General features: G+C 37.1%; 1 protein-coding gene across 12 annotated transcripts in view; it reads left to right on the forward strand.

Moving 5' to 3' along the window:
- The window catches only part of ZFYVE16 (zinc finger FYVE-type containing 16), a 75,770-nt gene that overhangs the window by 44,948 nt on the left and 8,259 nt on the right, over positions 1 to 22,563 (forward strand). For all 12 annotated transcript variants that reach the window (NR_146172.2, NR_146174.2, NR_146173.2 and 9 more), the window contains 7 exons: positions 3,135 to 3,217; positions 3,904 to 4,008; positions 4,388 to 4,535; positions 6,857 to 6,937; positions 20,204 to 20,366; positions 21,197 to 21,302; positions 22,106 to 22,273. Coding sequence is in view for 9 of the 12 variants with exons in the window: in XM_017010092.3 (XP_016865581.1) it covers positions 3,135 to 3,217; positions 3,904 to 4,008; positions 4,388 to 4,535; positions 6,857 to 6,937; positions 20,204 to 20,366; positions 21,197 to 21,302; positions 22,106 to 22,273 (854 nt within the window). In the remaining 3 variants the exon portion in view is untranslated. The remainder of the gene's footprint in view (positions 1 to 3,134; positions 3,218 to 3,903; positions 4,009 to 4,387; positions 4,536 to 6,856; positions 6,938 to 20,203; positions 20,367 to 21,196; positions 21,303 to 22,105; positions 22,274 to 22,563) is intronic.

Consider the following 22,563-nt stretch of genomic DNA (forward strand, 5'->3'; position numbering starts at 1 on the left):
CTATTGGGAGTTTGTTATGTTGCCTGCATATTAAGAAGATAAATCGTTGCGTCTCTCAATTTTTCTATATCATAAAGCCAGACATAAAGGATTTTTGGGTTAGCAGTGCTATTGTTTTCAGTTACTCACTATAATTAAAAGCTAACTATTTTTAGGGAAGGAAGTACTTAAAAATTGTGGTTATTTTTCTAAGCTTGATGATTCTTATTTTTATATTCTGATGTTTGTCTCTCAAAGGTGATAGAGCCTGTATCATTCATGTGTATGTACGTGTGTGTATTTACTTATCTACCCTTGACACAACTGGTGATTCTAAAGCTGCTGTGATGTTTATATATATGCTTATTTCTGAGTTAGAATCATTTCTAGTGTTAAACTTTTTTGAATTCCCACTGTATCTTTTATCTGACTTTTTTCAAGAAATAATATATTTATTGCATTTGAAGTATATCACGTCTAATGAACTTTTTAGACATTTGATTCTAATATAATTTGGTAGGGATTTTCTTGGAGGAAAATTAAATGTTGAGAAGCTATAAAAGTGGTGATTACTATTTCAGAATAGACAAATTGAGAGAAAGAGAGAATCTATTTGGAAATTTTATTAAACTGTGATTTTGTGGATGGGGGTTCTTTACCATTTAGGATTTACATGTGTGATGCTATTAACTTGTGGGAAAAGTAACAAAATTTAATTTGCATCTCAGGTTTTGTACTGTGTGAAACAAAGAGCTTAAGAAATTTCACTTTAAGCCAAATGTTTCATCAATGCAGCCCAGTATTTTGCCTCTAATTTAATATTTGAATGCTTTTTTAAATAGAAGATTAGGGGAATAAACTAGCTAATCAAATTATTATGGAACATGTAAGTATGGCCAGTATTTTGGCCAGTAGTACTTCTAGATAGTAAGTTTTCTCACACTGAAGGTTGGAGAATCATGGAGCAATACGAAGGGCTTATCATAAATCACGGGGACTGAAACTGCAAAGCTATGATAAGCTATTTAGTGGTAATGAGGGGAAATTGTCAGTTATACATAGAAGTTAATTCACCTCAGCTGTTTTCTGAATTCTTTCTGTTCTGCTAGATTTTACATAGACTGGCACTTTGACATTGTTGGTGCCCATGTCTTTTTAGATGTGAACTGTGTGTGTGTCTGTGTGTGTATTTTGTTACAGAGGTAATGTACATTTGAAAAAGCTAATGTGAAAGTTAAAGTCCCAAGAATAAAGACTAAAAGTAACTGTCTCAAATTAGTAATTTTTAAATGCTTTTGAAAATATCTGTGGTTTTATGTTGAGATCACTGGTTTTGAATACCATTAAATGTTCAAATAGATGATTTATGAGGTCCCTTTGTAACTCAGATAGTATGTCATTCTAAGCCATAACCTGTTGAGAATAGTGTTTTAAACAAAACTACCTCTTCATATTGCAAAGGTTGCCCCCTCATTCATATAAGGCAAAAAGCTAGCAGTTAATCATTTCCTTTATCGTTTTTATGTCTTTTCACACTAATATCTTGTATTTTTTTCAAATCTAGACCCTCTGTCTTTCAAATAACTTAGTTGCCTTTTTAGAATTACAAAATATGTTTGTACTAGCAAGAAAATGACTACTTTGACTTAAGTCTTTAAAGCAGCTAATGTTGGGTATGTGGTGTTTCTTTAGAATTTTAAGGAAGTATATTTGTATAATAGACATTAGAGAGATTAGTTTGCTTAAGACCTAACTTGAGAACTGAAGGTTACAAATGTGTCTGTGTCTTATCACTATAGAAATAGTCTTGCCTTCCTTTTCTTCAGAGTGCCTGCTGCGTTACCAGTAAGGTCTCTTTTCCTTTTTGGTGTCCAGAATTTATGGTGCCCTAAAGAAAGAACATAGTTAGGTGGCCGACCTCATGTCCCTTCCCTTTTTGTGCATTGGTTTCCCTGACTCTATCTGTATATTCCTTTTTTTTTTTTTTTGAGACGGAGTCTCACTCTGTCGCCCAGGCTGGAGTGCAGTGGCGCGATCTCGGCTCACTGCAAGCTTCGCCTCCCGGGTTCACGCCATTCTCCTGCCTCAGCCTCCCAAGTAGCTGGGACTACAGGTGCCCGCCACCACGCCCGGCTAATTTTGTTTTTGTATTTTTAGTAGAGACAGGGTTTCACCATGTTAGCCAGGATGGTCTCGATCTCCTGACCTCATCATCTACCCGCCTTGGCCTCCCAAAGTGCTGGGATGACAGGCGTGAGCCACCACGGCCAGCCCCAGTATATTTCTTTTATCATGCTGAACCAAGAACTTTAAAAGTTTACTACCATTCATAAATTAGCACAATTGAATATTAGTTATAAATGCCTTAAAAGTCTTTAGTTCTTTGTATTTCTCTTTAAATTATCAGAAACCTATATCGTTCTAACCAATTATCATAATTTTCCACCCCCTATAATTTTGTGGAAACAAGATGTATAATGAAAAGATGAAATACTCTCGAATCAGACAAGCCTAATTTCAAATCTGTTTCACCAATTATTAGTCACTAGGAGCAAGTTGATTAATTTCTGTGTCTCAACTTTCTCATTTATGAAATAGTATAGACACACTCCATTAGGTTGTTGAATTTAAATAAGATAATGTATGTATAGTTCCCAGTTCAATGTAGCATCTAGTAGATACATAGATACACAGTAAGTGTTAATATTGTCTCTTGGCTGGGTGTGGTGGCTCATGCCTGTAATCCCAGCACTTTGGGAGGCCGAGGTGGGTGGATCACCTGAGGTCAGAAGTTTGAGATCAGCCTGGTCAACATGGTGAAACCCTGTCTCTACTAAAAATACAAAAATTAGCCAGGTGTTGTGGCACATGCCTATAATCCCAGCTACTTGGGAGGCTGAGGCAGGAGAATTACTTGAACCCAGGAAGTGGAGGTTGCAATGAGTCGAGATTGCACCGCTGCACTCCAGCCTGGGCAACAGAGTGAGACCTTGTCTCAAAAACAAAAAAAAAATTATCTCTCACTTTCCCCTAAGAACTGATTGAGTGATATTTATACATAATGTTTGTTTGTAAAATGAGAGTTGAAGGTAATAAATTCAATAATTTGGGGTTTTTTTTGTTGATAGTAACCAGTTTTCCTTTCTTATGTATAGCATATCCTGCTCCTCTAACAAGCATCAGAGGCCGAAAACCTCTTTTTGGAGAAATAGGACACACTATTATGAACTTACTTGTTGTGAGTAATTGAACTATTTTATTAGGTATTTTTATACTGTTACTTTAAAACTGTATTTAGCAAAGTTTATACATTTATATTTTCCTACTTTAATTTGCCATATTTGGTATAATGACCATTCATTTACAATAAATCCTAATTATTTTAACATTAGTGCTCAGTTTTTGACGAATTGCTTTTTAGAACGTACTATCTCCTCATGTACGTGTACCTGATTCTAAGTGCCTTTTGATTCATTCTCCTGCAGTTCTTGGATATTTAGGTAATGTAAGAACTCTATACAGACCTCTTAAAGTTGTTGAAACTTTTGTAAATGTATTAGTAAAGTCAGTCAGTCTTGTGATTTTGAGCAAATTATGGCCTTAGTTTTCTCATTTATAATAGGAAGTGTTGGATTAGATGATATCTAAAGTTCCCTTCCACCTATACTTTTTGTAATTTTGTGTTTCCCTGTTACCATAGAAAAATGTTTCAGTGGACTCACTTTTATTTATCCATGCCTAGTTTGAAGACCTTTTCTATTTTGGAAGTTCTGTAACTAGAAAGTTACCCTAAATACTACAAAGTTTTTCCTGAGAATGATATTCTTTATTACTGCTGTGGAGAAGGATTTCTTAAAGAAGGATTTAATGGATAGAAAAATACTCATGGTTAGTAGTTTATGGTAATGCAATTATTCTATGTAGGACCTTCGAAATTACCAGTATACCTTGCATAATATAGATCAACTGTTGATTCATATGGAAATGGGAAAAAGCTGCATAAAAATACCACGGAAAAAGTACAGTGATGTAAGTATAATTGTTTTATTCAAATGACAATTATTGAACATTAGAGTTCCCTTAGAATTGTGTCACATTAAATTTTTTGTTTTGAATTAGACTATCTAATGTATTATGGCAACAAACATTGTTTTTGAAATGATAGAATTTGTTTACTGTAAATAATCTGTTTGATCATATTTCTTTTTTTTCGTACTGTTTTATTGAGGTGATTACTGTTCAACTGAAGTGCTTTTATTTTAAAACATTTGTTTCCATCACATTCCCAGGGAGCTGTCCAGACCGAAGCTTGATAATTATGAAGCTGGCCAGAAACGTGGCTCTTAGAATAGGCATATAATATTAAAAGTGTTTCTAAATAAATGTTGTTGTTTTTGTTTTTTTCCAGGTAATGAAAGTACTAAATTCTTCCAATGAGCATGTCATTAGCATTGGAGCAAGTTTCAGTACAGAAGCAGATTCTCATCTAGTCTGTATACAGAATGATGGAATTTATGAAACACAGGCCAACAGTGCCACTGGCCATCCTAGAAAAGGTGAGCATCTTGGTTCCTAGTGCTAATTTACAAAACCACCTCAATTAATAGAATTCCTTTCAAAGGGGAAATATATGTATATTTACTTATTTGCTGAATTGTTGGTGATAAAACAATATGTTTTGAAATTTCAGCTACACAACAGATTTTAAAATTGCTTCTAATTTTTGTTTTTCTCTTGGGCTACTTTAGGCTTACAGACTTGGAAGACTGTTTTCCTTTTGACATCTTTAGGTTTAGTATATCCCGTAGGGTGAGAGTCTTTCTTTGAGTAATTTCTTTCTGAAATAAGGTATTTCTTTTCACATTTGTTCACCCTCTGCTCCAACTCCTCTTAGTTGGTGGAGCACAGGGTGATAAGGATAAGATTGATTTATAAAACGTAACAAACAGCATCTATGAATGACATTACTCTCAGCTCTGGCTGAATGGCTTCAGTGATTGCTATGATTACCAAACCCTTGCAGTAGAAGGCCTAACAAATTGAAAGTTAAATGGAAGCATTTCATAAAATTAATATATTATTATAGGATACCATACTTAAAATAGTCCAACATTCTGGCTGCCAATAAAATTTTTTCCTCTGCTTATAAAAGTAATATATACTTATTTGTAGTAAGCTTGGAAAATACATTTTGAAAAGTAGTAAAAGAGGCCAGGCACAGTGGCTCACGCCTGTAATCCCAGAACTTTGGGAGGCTGAGGTGAGCGGATCACAAGGTCAAGAATTGAGACCATACTGGCTAATATGGTGAAACCCCGTCTCTATTAAAAATACAAAAAATTAGCCGGGTGTGGTGGCGGGCGCCTGTAGTCCCAGCTACTTGGGAGGCTGAGGCGGGAGAATGGCGTGAACCCGGGAGGCGGAGCTTGCAGTGAGCCCAGATCGTGCCACTGCACTCCCGCCTGAGCGACAGAGAAACAGAGCGAGACTACGTCTAAAAAAAAAAAAAAAAAAAAAGGTGGTAAAAGGGAAAAGTGCCAAGATATGGTCACTATTGACATTTTACTGTATTTCCTTCTTATATTAATGTATATGTTAAATAGATGATTTTATACTGGATATTTACACTTTTATATTATACTTTATCACTTAACATGATATTGGCATTTTTGCCACTAAAATTTAACAATTTTTAATATTTATTTGTTGAATAGGTATATTTTTATGTGGTAAAATTAAAAAGTTATTAATATTTATAGTGAAAAATCTCCTTTCCTCCCTTGACCACCCAGCCATCCTCTTACTCTCCCTACAGGCAACCAAACCAATGTTATCAGTTCTTATATATCCTTTCAGAGACATTTTTGCTTTAATATATATTCAAGAAACACACACACATATCTACCTCTTTCTTCCACTTTTATAGACAAGTCATAATATTTGCTCCATTCTATACCTTGTTTTTTTTGTTGTTGTTAACACACTTTGGAGATTATTCTATGTTTGTGTATAAGGAGCTTTTATATTCTACAGAACTTTACATTTTATATGTTGTACATCATTTAACTGTCCCTTATTGATGGGCATAATTTGTTACCAATCCTTAGGGGCTGTTTATAAAAATGCTACAGTGAATAGTTTTGTATACATGCCGTTTTGTACACATTTGAACCTATCTGTAAGATAAATTCCCAAAAGTGGAATTGGTGTGTCATAGGATACATTTACTTGTAATTTTAATAGAAAAATGCCAAGTTAGGGCTCCATAAAAACTGTTCTGATTTGTGGTGTCACCAGTAGTGAATGTTTGATTTCCTACACCCTCACTAATATAGGCACAAACATTTAAAACAGTACAATACTCCATCAATTATTAATAAAAACATTAAATTATTTTATTATTTACTTATTTGAGACAGAATCTCGCTCTGTCGCCCAGGCTGGAGTGCAGTGGCGCGATCTTGGCTCACTGGAACCTCCACCTCCTGAGTTCCAGCAATTCTGCCTCAGCCTCCTGAGTGGCCAGGATTATAGGCGCCTGCCACCACACCTGGCTAATTTTTGTATTTTTAGTAGAGACGAGGTTTCACCATGTTGGCCAGGCTAGTCTCAAACTCTTGACCTCAGGTGATCTGCCCTTTTCGGCCTCCCAAAGTGCTGGGATTACAGGCATGAGCCACCGCGCCCAGCCGCATTAAATTATTTTAATGTAATATTTTATCTCTTTTTTTTGTCTTTTTAATTAGTTTTCTAGTTTAAGTTGTGTGGGTATAACATTTATTGAGTACTTATATGCATATCCACATTCTGCATTTAACAAATGTGTAACATAAAAATGAGCAGTTTAAAACAAATAATTGTTGTATTTCTTGATCAGTGACAGGTGCAAGTTTTGTGGTATTCAATGGAGCTCTAAAAACATCTTCAGGATTTCTTGCTAAGTCCAGCATAGTTGAAGGTATGAATTTCATTTTTAATGGTGTTTTAATGTAGAGTTATTTTTCCTAACCTTTGAAAAATATATTTGATATTTACACAAGAACATATGTAAGTTATAAAGCACAGTACCACAAACTTACATGAAATCATCAACCAGCACAAGAAGTAGAAGACTTATCTCTCTCTTCTGCGTCTCCCCAGGAATTAGTGAGTAGACTGAATATGGTGTTTATCATTCTCTTGCTTGTTTTTTACTTTGTATATACATCTGCCTAAACAACATATTGTTTATGCTTATTTAGGAGATAAATAAAAGTGAAATCATTCTTCACATAGTTATATGGAACTCCCTATTTTCATACAACATGAGTTTCTAAACTTTATGCATGTTGTTTCTTACAACTATAGCTTATTCATTTTAAACGCTATTAAATATTTTGTGAATGTATGACAATGTATTCATCTCCTGATCATGAACTTCTGGGTTGTATCTATTCTAAGAATATATTCTAGAGTTTCTGTAAAATATATATGCAAGAGTGGAATTTATGGGCTGATAGATTAGTAAATGTTCACTTTACAAAGTATTGCTAAGTTGCTTTCCAAATTGGTTGTACCGATTTACTTTACCATGAATATATAAAATTTATGATTGGTCTACATTTTCTCCAAACATGATATTATCAGACTGCTTAATTTGTGTCAATCCTGTAGGTATCTCTGAATATAGTCATAATTAGCATATCCCTAATTAATAAGCAGAGCATCCTATTACATATTTATTGGACATGCATGTTGCCTCTTCTGTGAAATGTCTGCCCATATCTTTTGCGCTTTTTTCTATTGGATTGTGCGTCTTTTTCTGACTGACTTGTAGTTACATAATTTTATGTATTTTATATTCCTCCTCTCCCGTTTTTAGTGTCTTTTAAATAGAAGTTCTCATTTTAATACAGTATAATTTATGACTCTTATGGCTAATGTTTTTTATTTAAGAAATCTATCATACAGTTTCGAAAGATATTCTCCTATGTTGTCTTCGAGATTTAAAGTTTTGCCTTTCACACTTAAGTCCCTAATTTATCTGGAATTTAATTTTATGTGCTGTGTGAGGTAGAGAAATCCAGTGACTTTTTTTGTCATTTGAATAGGAGTTGATCCAGCATCAGATATTGAATTTTCCCTTTGCCCTGGTAATTGTTAATGCTATCTCTGTCACATAGCATGTTTTATTTGCACAAGAATCCATTTCTGAGCTATGTTCTTAGCTTTTGTTTTGTTTTAGTCAGTTTGCTTAACTCTGTACCGATTCCATACTATTTTATTATCATTGTAAACATTTTCACTTTTACTGTGAAAAAGTCAAGCATGTATAAAAGCAAAAAAGGATAATATGATAAACATTAATGAAATCATCACCCACCTTTGACTATTATCAATTTATAGCCAATCCTACTTTATCCATACTCCTTCTACTCTCCTCTCATTGTATTATTTTTACTATATCATTTCATTCACAAATACTATATTTTTAAAAGAAAAAGTATTTTTTTAGAAACATAACCACAAAACTACAGATTAGGCATTCCAAATCCAAAAATCTGAAATCTGAAATGCTTCAAAATCCTAAACTCTTTGAGCGCCGACATGACACTCTATAGAAGTGCTCATTAGAGCATTTCAGATTTCACCTTTCAATTTCAGATGCTCAGCTGCTAAGTATATAATGCAAATATTCCAAAATCCAAAAAAAGTCTGAAATCTGAAACACTTCTGGCCCTATGCGCTTCAGATAAGGGACACCTGTATTATCACACATAAATATTTTATCAATAATTCCTGTATATCCAATCAGTAGTCAGTCACATTACCCCCATTGTCTCACTTCTTAAAATATTTGTTCAAATCAGTATCCAAATAAGATCCAGTCACTGCAAATAATTATGTCTACTCTTTTAATTATGAATATTTTCAGTTCTTTTTGTGATTACTTCATCTTAATCAGTTTGGGCTGCCATAACAAAATACAACAGATTGAGTAGCGTAAAAAGCATAAATGTATTTTCTCACAATTCTAGAGGCTAGAAGTCCAAGATCAAGGTGCCAACAGGGTTGGTTTCTGGTAAGGCTTGTCTCCTTGGCTTGTGGCCTTTTCTCTGTGTGACTCTCAGAGAGAGCTCCAGTATCTCTTCTTCTTCTTCTAAGAACACCAGTCCTAGGCTGGGTGTGGTGGGTCACACCTGTAATCCCAGCTCTTAGGGAGGCTGAGGCAGGTGGATCATTTGAGGTCAGGAGTTTGAGCCTGGCCAACATGGTGAAACCTCATCTCTACTAAAAATACAAAAAGTTGGTCAGGCGTGGTGGCGGGCGCCTGTAATCCCAGCTACTCGGGAGGCTGAGTCAAGAGAATGGTGTGAACCCAGGAGGTGGAGGTTGCAGTGAGCTGAGATTGCACCATTGCACTCCAGCCTGGGTGAGAGAGACTGTCTCAAAAAACAAAACAAAACAAAAAAAAAACACCAGTCCTTTCAGATTAAGGCCTCACCTTTATGACTTCATTTAGCTTTAATTAACTCCTTAAAGGCCCAACTCCAAATACAGTTACATTTCAGGGTTAGGGCTTCAACATACGAATTCTGGGGAAACACAATTCTGTCCATACATTTGGATTTTCTAATTATTTTTAAATCAATTATGGTAATATGTGGCTTTCTAAGTGTATGAGTCCATTTTCACACTGCTATAAAGAACTGCCTGAGACTGGGTAATTTATAAAAGACAGAGGTTTAATTGACTCACAGTTCAGCGTGGCTGGGGAGGCTTCAGGAAACTTATACAGTCATGGTGGAAGGTGAAGGGGAAGCAAGGCACCTTCTTCACAAGGCAGCAGGAAGGAGAAGTGCTGAGTTAAGGGGGAAGAGCCCCTTATAAAACCATCAGATCTTGTGAGAACTCACTTGCTATCATTAGAACAGCATGGGGGAAACTGCCCCCATGATCCATTTACCTCCACCTGGTCTCTCCCTTGACATGCAGGGATTATAGGGATTATGGGGATTACAATTCAAAATGAGATTTGGGTGGGGACACAAAGCCTAACTATATCATTCCTCCCCTGGCCCCTCCCAAATCTCACGTCCTCACATTTCAAGACACAAACATGCCTTTGCAACAGTCTCCCAAAGTCTTAACACATTCCAGCATTAACCCAAAAGTCCAAGTCCAAAGTCTCATCTGAGACAAGGCAAGTCCCTTCTGCCTATGAGCTTGTAAAATCAAGAGCAAGTTAGTTACTTCCTAGATACATTTGGGGTACAGGCGTTGGGTAAATACACCCGTTCCAAATGTGAGAAATTGGCCAAACTGAAGGGGCTACAGGCCCCATGCAAGTCTGAAATCCAGCAGGGCAGTCAAATCTTATACCTCTGAAATGATCTCCTTTGACTCCATGTCTCACATCCAGGTCATGCTGATGTAAAAGGTGGGCTTCTACAGCCATGGGCAGCTCCAGCCCTGTAGCTTTGCAGGGTACAGCCTCTCCCAGCTGCTTTCATGTGCTGGCATTGTCTGGCACTTTTCCAAGCACACAGTGCAAGCTGTTGGTGGATCTACCATTCTGGGGTCTGGAGGATGGTGACCCTCTTCTCACAGCTCCACTAGGCAGTGCCCCAGTGGGGACTCTTTGTGGGGACATTTCCCTTCTGCACTGCCCTAGCAGAGGTTCTCCATGAGGGTTCCACCCCTGCAGCAAACTTCTGCCTGGACATCCAGGCATTTCCGTACATCCTCTGAAATCTAGGTGGAGGTTCCCAAACCACAATTCTTGACTTCTGTACACCTGTAGGCGCAACACCACCTGTAAGCCACCAAAGCTTGGGGCATGCACCCTTTGAAGCAATGGCCTGAGCTATATTTTGGCCCCTTTAGCCACGAGTGGGACACTGGGCACCAAGTCCTGAGACTACACAAGGCAGCAAGACCCTGTACCTGGCCCACAAAACCATTTTTACCTCCCAGGCCTCCAGGCCTGTAATGGGAGGGACTGTTGTGAAGGTCTCTGGTATGCCCTAGAGACATTTTCCCCATTGTCTTGGGGATTAATGTTTGGCTTCTCATTACTTAATGCAAATTTCTGCAGCCAGCTTGAATTTCTCCTCAGAAAATGGGTTTTTCTTTATCGCGTTATCAGGCTGCAAATTTTCCAAACTTTTATGCTCTGCTTCCCTTTTAAACATAAGTTCCAGTTCCAAAGTATCTCTTTGTGAATGCATAAAACTGAATGCTTTTTAGAGCCCCCAAATCACCTCTTGAATGCTTTGCTGCTTAGAAATTTCTTCCGCCAGATACCCTAAATTATCTCTCTCAACTTCAAAGTTCCTCAGATCTCTAGGGCAGGGGCAAAATTCTGCCAGTCTCTTTGCCAAAGCATAGCAACAGTCACCTTTATTCTAGTTCCCAACAAGTTCCTCATCTCCATCTGAGATCACCTCAGCCTGGACTTCATTGTCCATATCACTATCAGCATTTTGGTCAAAGCCATTCAACAAGTCTCTAGGAAGTTTCAAACTTTCCCACATCTTCCTCTCTTCTTCTGAGCCCTCCAAACTGTTCCACCCTCTGCCTGTTACCAAGTTCCAAAGTCACTTCCACATTTTAAGTATCTTTATAGCAACACCCCACTCTCTGGGGTGTCAATTTACTGTATTAGTCTGTTCTCATGCTGCTATAAGGACATACCCGAGACTGGGTAATTTATAAAGGAAAGAGGTTTAATTGACTCACAGTTCAGCACAGCCTCAGGAAACTTATGATCATGGCAGAAGGTGAAGGGCAAGCAAAGCACCTTCTTCACAAGGCGGCAGGAAGAAGTGCTGAGCTAAGGGGGAAGAGCCCCTTATAAAACCATCAGATCTTGCAAGAACTGTCTCATTATCAGAAGAACAGCATGGAGGGAAACTGCCCCCATGATTCAGTTACTTCCACCTGGTCTCTCCCTTGACACGTGAGGATTATGGGGATTACAATTCATGATGAGATTTGGGTGGGGACACAAAGCCTAACCATATCACTAAGAATTTATCAATTTCATTTATGTTATCTAATTTGTTGGCATAACATTGTTCATAGTATTCCCTTATAATCCTTTATTTCTGTGAGGTTGGTAGTAATGTCCCCTCATGAATTGCTGATTTTAGTAATTTGAATCTTCTTTTTTCTTGGTTACTCTTGTAAAGTTTTGTCAATTATATTTTGTTTCTCTGTTCCTTCCCTACTGTGTTTTTTTGTGTTAGATATTTTCTAGTGTACCATTTTAATTCACTTGTCACTTCTTTTAATATGTATTTTTTTAGTTATTTCTTAGTTGTTGCCATAGACATTACAGTTAATACCAAAATGTTTAACAATATAATTCAGATAAATACCAATCTAATTTCCATAGTATATAAAAACTTTACTCCTGTTTATCGTTTCCTCTCTACTCCTTTGTGTCATTATTGCCATACAAATTACATGTTTATACATTATGTGCCCATCAACACTGATTTATAATTATTGATTTATGCAGATGTTTTTTAAATGAGAAGAGGAAAGAGTTACAACCCAAAATACATTTATGTTCTTATATATTAACCTATGTAGTTACCTTACCTATTCTCTTATTCATGTGCATTCAAGTTACAGTCTAGCATCCTTTTATTTAAGTGTGAGGGACTTCCTTTAGTATTTCTTGTACTTGAAGTGTGCCAGCAACATATTTTCTCTGTTTTTGTTTATCTGGGAATGTGCTAATTTCTCCTTCATTTTTGAAGGAGAGTTTTGCTGGACATAAACTTTCTGGTTAACAATATTTTTCATTTAGCACTTTGAATATGTCATTCCACTGTCTTCTGGCCTCCATGGTTTCTTTTTTTTTCCTTTTCTTTGTTTTTTTTTTTTTTTTTTTTTTTTGAGACAGGATTTAGCTTTGTCACCCTGGCTGGAGTGCAGTGGCATAATCACAGCTCACTACAGCCTTGACTCTTGGGTTCAAACGACCCTCCCATCTCAGCCTCCTGAGTAGCTGGAACTACAGACATGTACCACCAGGTTTGGCTAATTTTTTTTCTATTTTTTGTAGAGACAGGGTCTCACTGTGTTGCCCAGGCTGGTCTGAAACTCCTGGGCTCAAGCATTCCTCCTGCCTCGCCCTCCCAAAGTGTTTTAATTATAGGCATGAGCCACTGTGCCTGGCCTCTACATAGTTTCTGATTAAGAAGTCAGCAGTTAATTTTATTTGAAATCCTTTGTATGTGATGATTTGCTTTATTGCTGCTTTCATGACACTCTTTGTCATTCACAGTTTGACTATGATGTGTTTAGGGGTGGATCCCTTTGAGTTTATAGTATACTTGGAATTCTCTGTGATTCTTAGATGTTCAGATTAGTGTTTTTCATTATGCATATATTGGTATTCTTTTTTTTTTTTTGAGATGGAGTTTCCCAGTTATTGCCCAAGCTTGAGTGCAATGGCGTGATCCTGACTTACTGCAACCTCCACCTCCTGGGTTCAAGAGATTCTCTTGCCTCAGCTTCCTGTTAGCTGGGATTACAGGCACCCACCACCACGCCCAGCTAATTTTTTGTACTTTTAGTAGAGACAGGGTTTCACCATGTTGGCCAGGCTGGTCTCGAACTCCTGAACTCATGGGATCCACCTGCCTCAACCTCCCAAAGTGCTGGGGTTACAGGCATGAGCCACTCTGCCCATCCACATATGTTGGTATTCTTGATGATATACCCACACGTCTCTGAGGGTCTGTTCATTTTTCTTCTTTTTTCTTTCTGTTCATCAGACTGGGTAGTCTTAGTTGGTCTGTTTTCAAATTCACAAATTCTTCTGCCTAGTCAAATCTGTTGTTGAGCTCCACTAGTGAAGTTTTCATTTTAATTGTAATTTTGAACTCCAGAATTTGTATTTTTTTCTTACAATTTTGTAATTTCTATCATTTCATTGATATTCTCTGTTTGGTTAGACATCATTCTCATACTTTGATTCTTTAGACATAGTTCCTTTAGTTCTGTGAACATATTTAAAATAATTGATTTATACCCTTTGTCTAGTAAGTGTAATGTCTTTGTTTCCTTAGGGACAGTCCCTGTTACTTGCTTTTCCCTTCATATACAGGCCATATTTTCCTATTTCTTTGGATAAAAGGGTTTCCTATAAAGCTGTGTAACTGAGATACTGTGGAGGATGACATTAGTGAAAGTTGCGACACTGAAAACCTCAAAAAATACTCTGCCCCATATAAGGAATGAGGAAACTGGCAAAGAATCAGAAGCAACTCTTTCAGAACTCTGGAAATTAGCCAAAAGTTTATAGCAATTGGGTATGGTTTATTAAAGAAAAATGACTGAATCTTGATAAGAATAGCAAGCTGTTATTTTAACTTGCCCTATACCTATCCTCTCATCTCCAGCACAGCAGAAGCCTTGAAAACCAGCAGGCTTATAGCCAGTGGTGGGGGCAGTAAGGGGTTGGAGCTCCTTCAAAAACTTACTATCAGACAGTTGTCATTATTTGACTTCTCAGGTGGTTCCCTGGAAGACCCTACTTACAAGGCTGTTTTACTTTTCCTGACTCTAAGCTTACCCAGTGGGAAAAATCTTTTCTCAGGGAGTGTTTGTCGAAATGGAATGATTATGCATACAGCAAGTATTTAACCAGCCTCTAGCTATGGAATACAATTGAGGCAAACAACAGGCAAATCTAAAGGTTAAAAGGAAAAGCTGGGGAATGCTTTGTCGGTAAGGGGTCACATGCAAGTTGCAAATACAAGGATGTACAAATGCCCAGGAAAGACCTGGGAAGGTCCTATGTGTCCACCTCAGATTGACCTTGAGCCTCTGCACAAGCAGGAAGTGATAGCCAAGATAGAGGTGTCCACTGCCTGACTTGAATGTTGAAGGCATGCCCGAACAAGCACATAAAGCTTCCAGCAAAGACTAGGATAGTTATTAGTTTCAGGCATTTAAGGATATCTCAGTTCAATAATTAGACAGCTAATAAGCTAACTCAGCAGAGACTTTAGTGACTACATATGTATGACAAAGAATGCAGATTTTACAGAATTAGTTCAAAAAAGCCACATAACAACAAACAGCAACAAAAACAAACTCTGTGAAGAAGACAAAATCTGATTTCCAGAGTTGCCTCATTAATTATTTAAAATGTCTCATTTTCAACATAAAATTGCCAGACATGCAAAGAAACAGGAAAATGTGGTCTATACCTGAAGGGAAAAGCAAGTAACAGGAACTGTCCCTAAGGAAACAAAGACATTACACTTACAAGACAAAGGGTATAAATCAATTATTTAAAATATGTTCAGAGAACTAAAGGAAACTATGTCTAAAGAACCAAAGGAAAGCATGAGAATGATGTCCAACCAAACAGAATATCAGTGAAGCAATAGAAATGATCAAATTATAAGAAAAAAATATATATAAATTCTGGAGTTCAAAATTACAACAATTAAAATGAAAACTTCATGGTGGCATGCACCTGTACCCCAAGCTACTCAGGAGGTTGATGGCACCCATATGCTTTATTCTTCTTTTCAGTAGTGCCATGGCCAGTGTAAGTCCTTTGATTTTTTCATGTTCGTTTTAGGATCAACTTGTCAGGTTTACAAAAGGTCCATGGGAATTTTTATCTGGGGTTGCATTAAATCATTAGCTTAATTTTGAGAAAATTGGCACATTTTCCATTTTCAGTGTTCCTATTCATATAGTACACCCTCACTTATTTTAAATCTACAGTTATGTGTTGCTTAGTGATGGGGATACATTCTGAGAAATGTTTCATTAGGCAATCTTGTCATTGTGCAAACTTCATAGAGTGCACTTACACAAACCTAAATAGTATAGCCTAGTGCATACCTAGGCTATATGGTATAGCCAATTGCTCCTAGTCTGTAAACCTGTACAGCATGTTACCATTCTGAATATGGTAGACAGTTATAATATGATGGCATTTGTGTATCTAAGTATATCTAAACACAGAAAACGCACAGTAAAAAATACTGTACTATAATCTTATGGGACTGCTGTTGTATATGTGATCCCTCATTGACTGAAATGTTGTTTTGTGGTACATGACTTTATGATTTTTGGTTTAGGCCTTGTATATATTTTCTTGATTTATTCCTTTACCTTATAGATTTTATTGCCGATGTAAATGGTATCTTATTAAATTAAAATTGTAATCTGTTTCTGGTATATAGAAATACATTTATCTCTGCATTTTAAAACTTACATCCAGCCACATTATATACTCTTATTTATAATAATTTATCTGTCGATTCTTTTAGACTTTTCTGTGTAGCTGAAATAGTGTAATTTTGCTTTTTTCTTTGCAATTCTTATGCTTTTTATTTATTTATTTTGGTTACTGGCTGGGACTCCTAATATAATAGAAGCAATAATCATAAGCACACCCATCTGGATCCATGTTTATCAATTAATACCTTTTAAGAAGTGAACTTTTATGATTTATTTTTATGTGCCATATCTGTCATTCTGATAATGGAATTTGAGATATCCATATATTTTTCTTCTTATTTCTTTTCTTTCTCTCTTTTTTTTTTTTTTTTGAGACTCATTCTCACCCAGGGTCTCATTCTCACCCAGGCGGGAGTGCAGTGGCATGATCATGGCTCACTGCAGCCTCAACCTCCAAGGCTCAGGCAGTCCTCCCATCTCAGCCTCCTGAGTAGCTAGGACTACAGGCACACACCACCACACCTGGCTATTTTTTTGTTGTTTTCTTGTAGAGACAAGGTCTCACTATGTTGCCCAGGCTGGGGCTTGAACTTCTGGGCTCAAGTGATCCTCCTTCCTCAGCCTCTGAGTAGTTGGGACTACAAGCACATGCCACCATGCTTGGCTAATTAAAAAAAAAAAATTGTAAAGATGAGGTCTTCCTATATTGCCCAGGCTGGTCTCAATCTTCTGGACTCAAGTGATCCTCCCTCCTCAGCCTCCCCAAAGTACTGGGATTACATGTGTGAGCCACTGCTCCTGGCATCAGTCTGTTTTTGAGATACCATCTTCATCTTCAGTTTTTGTCAGCTTAATTATGTGTGCCTAGATTCCAGTCTCTTCTTCTAGGACTCTGTCACTGTATGTGTGTGTGTGAGTGTGTGTACACAAATATATGTGCATGTGTGTGTTAGATTGTTTTGTGTCACCCCATAGATTCTTGATGCTCTGCTCATTTTTTCTTCAATGTTTTTTCTTTGTGTTCTTCAGATTGGATACTTTTCACTGATTTTTCTTTATGTTCTCCAATTATTTTTTTTTTGCCATCTTTAGTCTACTATTAAGTCTCTCCTTTGGGCTTTCAGTTTTAGTTAGATTGTACTTTTCTGTTCCAGAATTTCCTTTTGTTTCTTTTTCCAGTTTGTATTTCTCTCAAGATTTATTATATGTTTATTTAGCCCATATTTGCTTTTTATTCTTTGAATGCGTTTCCTTTATGTCTTTGAATATACATACATATATACATATATATGTGTGTATATATATGTGTGTGTGTGTATATATACGTGTGTGTGTGTGTGTGTGTGTGTGTGTGTGTGTGTATTTTTTTTTTTTTTTTTTGAGACAGAGTCTCACCCTTTCACCCAGGCTGGAGTGCAGTGGCGCAATCTCGGCTCACTGGAAGCTCCACCTCCTGGGTTCACGCCATTCTCCTGCCTCAGCCTCCCGAGTAGCTGGGACTACAGGCACCTACCACCACACCTGGCTAATTTTTCGTATTTTTAGTAGAGACAGGGTTTCACCATGTTAGCCAGGATGGTCTCGATCTCCTGACCTCGTTATCCTCCCGCCTAGGCCTCCCAAAGTGCTGGGATTACAGGCATGAGCCACCGCACCCAGACTCTTTGAATATATTTATTATAGCTGTTTTAAAATTTTTATATGCTTAATTGGCCATCTTGAAGTTGGCTTCATTTGCCGAAGGGGTCACATTTTCTCATTTCTGTCTAGTAATTTCTATTATTTTTTTTGAGACAGGATCTCGCTCTGTTGCCCAGGCTGGAGTGCAGTGGTACAGTCATAGCTCACTGCAGCCTTGAACTCCTGGGCTAAGTGATCCTCCTGCATCAGCCTCTTGAGTAGGTGGGACTGCAGGTGCACACCACCACACCTGGCTAATTTTTAAACTTTTTGTAGAGATGAGGTTTCACTGTGTTGTCCAGGCTGGTCTTGAACTCCTGGCCTTAAGATATCCTCCCTCCTTGTCTTCCCTAAGCACTGGGATTACAGTTGTGAGCCACCACACCTGGCCTGTCTAGTAATTTTTGGTTGTATATTTGTCATTGTTATATGTAGGGAGACCCCCTGAAACTATTGCTACAGAATAAAAGATGAAATGCTCCTGATTATTGTAAATACAAAATTGCATGCAGGACTGTGTAAAGACAATGCCAAGTTGGACTACCAGAATGAGCCAACAGCACGTGATGTGCTTCCCCCTGCAGAGAGCCTATGAATGGACGTGCAGTCAGGGAGGTTTCACATCACCAAGATTCCTATCCCAGAAAAGCAGATGTTCATAGCTCTGGGAATGGAATGTGACCCTTGTGGAGAGCCTATAAACGGATGCATGGGGGGTGCCTGTCCATATGGATAAGATAGGGCTATAAACGTCCTAATCTTGCCACGGCTCTTTTAGGCCTCTTTAGGGTTAAGGCATACTCCCTTCTGAGAATTTCTGGTCTAACCGGTTGTCTAGCTTCACGTCCTGTTTCTATGGATTGTTTGTAACCAGCTTTTGCTGCAACTGTTACTGCTGATTAATATCTTGCTAATCACAGGTTATGGAAAGACTGTGCTTCTGTTTTAAGGCTCTGTTAGAAATTACTGATGCACACACTATATTGTAAATTCTTATCTCTGTATACTGTACTTCTGCATACAGATGTTATGTTAAAGAATTACTTCATCCCCATGTGACCATCTCACCTCATAATCAAATGACCCTAAATCCCTCACTAAGCTACCCCTGCCCTCACTAAACTTAATAATAAATGCTGGTATATCCAGTGCATCGTTGGCACCACGGGACCAGAAGGCGGTGACCCCCCGGACCCAGCATTCACTATCTTTTGTGTGTCTATTATTTCTCAACCTGCTGATCTGCCTAGGAACAAAGAGAGCGCCCCGTTGCATTGTGGGCTGCTGGCCAGATCCCGCAATAGTTATATGCTTTAGAAACTTTAGATTCTAAGTACATTTTGCTGAAGAAGGTTTGTTTATGTTTTAGTAGGCAGTTTCATGGTTGATCACCTTGACATTGTGTAGACTTGATTTTTCACTTTCTTAAGATGGATTTGTAGAAATCCTAAGGTGTTTACCGGTCCACACTAATTTGACAGTACTCAGTCTTCAAATCTATTTTGCCTATAGATTTTGTAAGGGCTTCGTTTTGGCTTTTCTACAATGCTTGTTAATGAGGTGTTAATAAAGTCTCTTCACTTTGGTTGGTCCACATGACCAAATTCCCCAACATTATTTGACTTCTATTACCTCTGTTCTGTTCCCCATGCTGTAACACTGTGCTATGTTTAAGCCTCATCTAGTCTCACTCTGTTATTGTGTCCCCAGTTCTAGTCCAAAGACTTCAAAGTCTTCCATGCAGTTTTCTAGTGCCCCCCTCTTAAGTGTCCTGACTGCAGATTCTAGGCTTCACCAAACTCTTTATCTCTTGAGTTCTCAGCCAATAGGGCCATTGTAGACTTAGTGGGTCACCTTGAAGAAATTATCCCCAGGCAGAGAGCTCAGGGCAGAGAGTAAGGGCTCTCTGCCTGGGAATAATTTCCTCATGGTGACCCACTAAGCTTACCTGAGTTCTCTGCCTGGAGATAACCATGGGCTTAACCTCTTCAGTTTCCCTCTAGGGATCTCAGTATTGCACTGCCTATTGTCCAGAACCTGAAAACAGTTATCTCATACATTTTGTCTAGTCTTAGGGTGGTTGTCATGACAGGGCTATCTGGTACCAGTTATTTCATCATAGCCAGAAGCAGAAATTCTCTTTGTTTTAACCTTAAAAAAAAAATTCTTAACTTTGCAAAATACTTGTCTTATTTCCTAGTGGAAAACAACCATTAAGATGATTAGCAAATGATTTAAAACTTGTATCTTACACAGAACATATTTTGATAGCAAATTTTATGGCTTAGATATACACATTGGTATTTGGCAAAAGAAATGTGAAACTTAGTCTCATTTCTAGATGGCTTAATGGTACAAATAACTCCAGAGACCATGAATGGCTTGCGGCTAGCTTTACGAGAACAGAAAGACTTTAAAATTACATGTGGGAAAGTTGATGCAGTAGACCTGAGAGAATACGTGGATATCTGCTGGGTAGATGCTGAAGAAAAAGGAAACAAAGGGTAGGAATTTTTTTATTCTAAAATATAATTGATTTGAAGGAAAGTGCAGGATTAAAATATCCTATTAATAAAATTAAATATTTTATGAACGAATATATACTTATACCATCAATTTAAATGCCTTTACTCAAATTAATGAATGCAATCTTTTTCAAACATGTGCCTAACTAGCCTCATAAGTGGTGGTGTGGTTTTTGGGCCAGGATGGTCCATTTGAGAGGGGCTTGATGATGACACATCTGTTGTGTAGCAGTGTGGGCTTGATGCCAGGGCTGAAAAGGCAAGACACTTTTTCTTTCAGATGGTACCTATTTTTGTCACATAAGTAAAAGATTCCCTTTGGATGATATATACTGTATTATTTTGATTCACTATAAATACAAACAACTGGATTTAATAATATTTACATTAGAGGCCTTACAGATTATTACTGCCACTCCTTCCTCTCTTCAGTTACCCATTTTCTTTCTTTTTTTGAGATTGGCTAAGGGGTCTGGAGCAAAGAAGGAAAAAGAGGGCTGAAGGATTCCAAAATAGAGTTTTTGAATTCATGAGGCAGCTTTTCTATTAGACTATCTAAGGTATTTTAAACTTGAGGTCTGAATTTGGCATATGAAAAAGGAGATACAATTTATTGATGAACAAAAAAGATTACTACACAATCAAGAAATCTTGGTAAATGAATGTGAACTACAGATTTAGTTATTTTGTATATAATTGACATATCTTCTTTTATATTTTTTCCCTCATTCCATTTGTTCAAATCTAATAATTCATTTCAAAAACACATTGGTGCTAATAATTCTATTGTATTATGTTTTATTTCATAGAGTTATCAGTTCAGTGGATGGAATATCATTACAAGGATTTCCAAGTGAAAAAATAAAACTGGAAGCAGATTTTGAAACCGATGAGAAGATTGTAAAATGTACCGAGGTAACTAAGAAAGAAGGTCCCTTTACATGCTGTGTTTCAATATGATTTTTGTTCTTTGGAGATTGTGCATACTCAACCTCTAAATATTTATGCATAGCTTATTATACTTTTTATGCTACACTTTGAGACATACGCATTTCCACCCCAGAATTTTATACACCAGAATTGGATTTCCATAGGGTTAGTTCAGGCTATCAAATGGTGGTACTGCCTGCCAGCTGTGTTGGCAGCATTGCCATCTTTGTACTGTAATATGTTACTTGACCATATTTTCATTTTCCTCAGATTTTATGAAAAATAAGATATTGTCATTAATTTATAATCAGCATTCACATATGAAAGTTACTTTTTCATGTTTTAGTTTTTTTTTAAATTAGAGGATATGAAACTACAGACTCCCAAGTCCTTAGTCTACCTCCTTATTCCCCCTCATATTTATTTCTTATGCATTCTTTGTGATTTTATTACATGTACAAAATAGAACCTGTAGAGAATGTAGACACAATGTTTTATCTTAACTTCATATAGATGTTCTTTACAGGATAGACTCATACTGATTTAATAAGCCTTTCCTTGCTACAAATTAACCTTAGGCAAAAATTGCTGAGACATTTCCATATTTACCATAACTTTTTGTTTTATGTTTTTACTTATAGTACAGATCAAGCTATCGATACAGAATTCTCACAACTAATGCTTTTCATGGTACTTACATTGGAATTTAATTAAACTTGAAAGCAGCAATTGTTGCATTTTAAAGTTACTTTTAATCATGACTTGTTTCCTAATTAAATACATTTCAGGTGTTCTACTTTCTAAAGGACCAGGATTTATCTATTTTATCAACTTCTTATCAGTTTGCAAAAGAAATAGCCATGGCTTGTAGTGCTGCGCTGTGCCCTCACCTGAAAACTCTAAAAAGTAATGGGATGAATAAAATTGGACTCAGAGTTTCCATTGACACTGATATGGTGAGGCATGTTTTTGTGATGTATTTTTGAAATGAATGTATTGCATATTAACAAGTTTTTCTTCAACCTTTTATTTTGGGATGAAAGGGAACGAAAATTTGTTGAGCATCAAATGTGTGCTACACACTTCACATATATTATCTGTATTAGTCTCCACAACAGGGGTCAGCAAACTGTTTTTGCAAAAGGACAGACAGTAACTATTTTGGACATTGTAGGCAGTATGGTTTCTTTCACAACTACTCAACACTACCATTATATTGGGAAAGCAGCCATTCACAGTATGTAAA

Source organism: Homo sapiens, chromosome 5, assembly GCF_000001405.40.
Source record: "Homo sapiens chromosome 5, GRCh38.p14 Primary Assembly".
Taxonomy (NCBI): domain Eukaryota; kingdom Metazoa; phylum Chordata; class Mammalia; order Primates; family Hominidae; genus Homo; species Homo sapiens.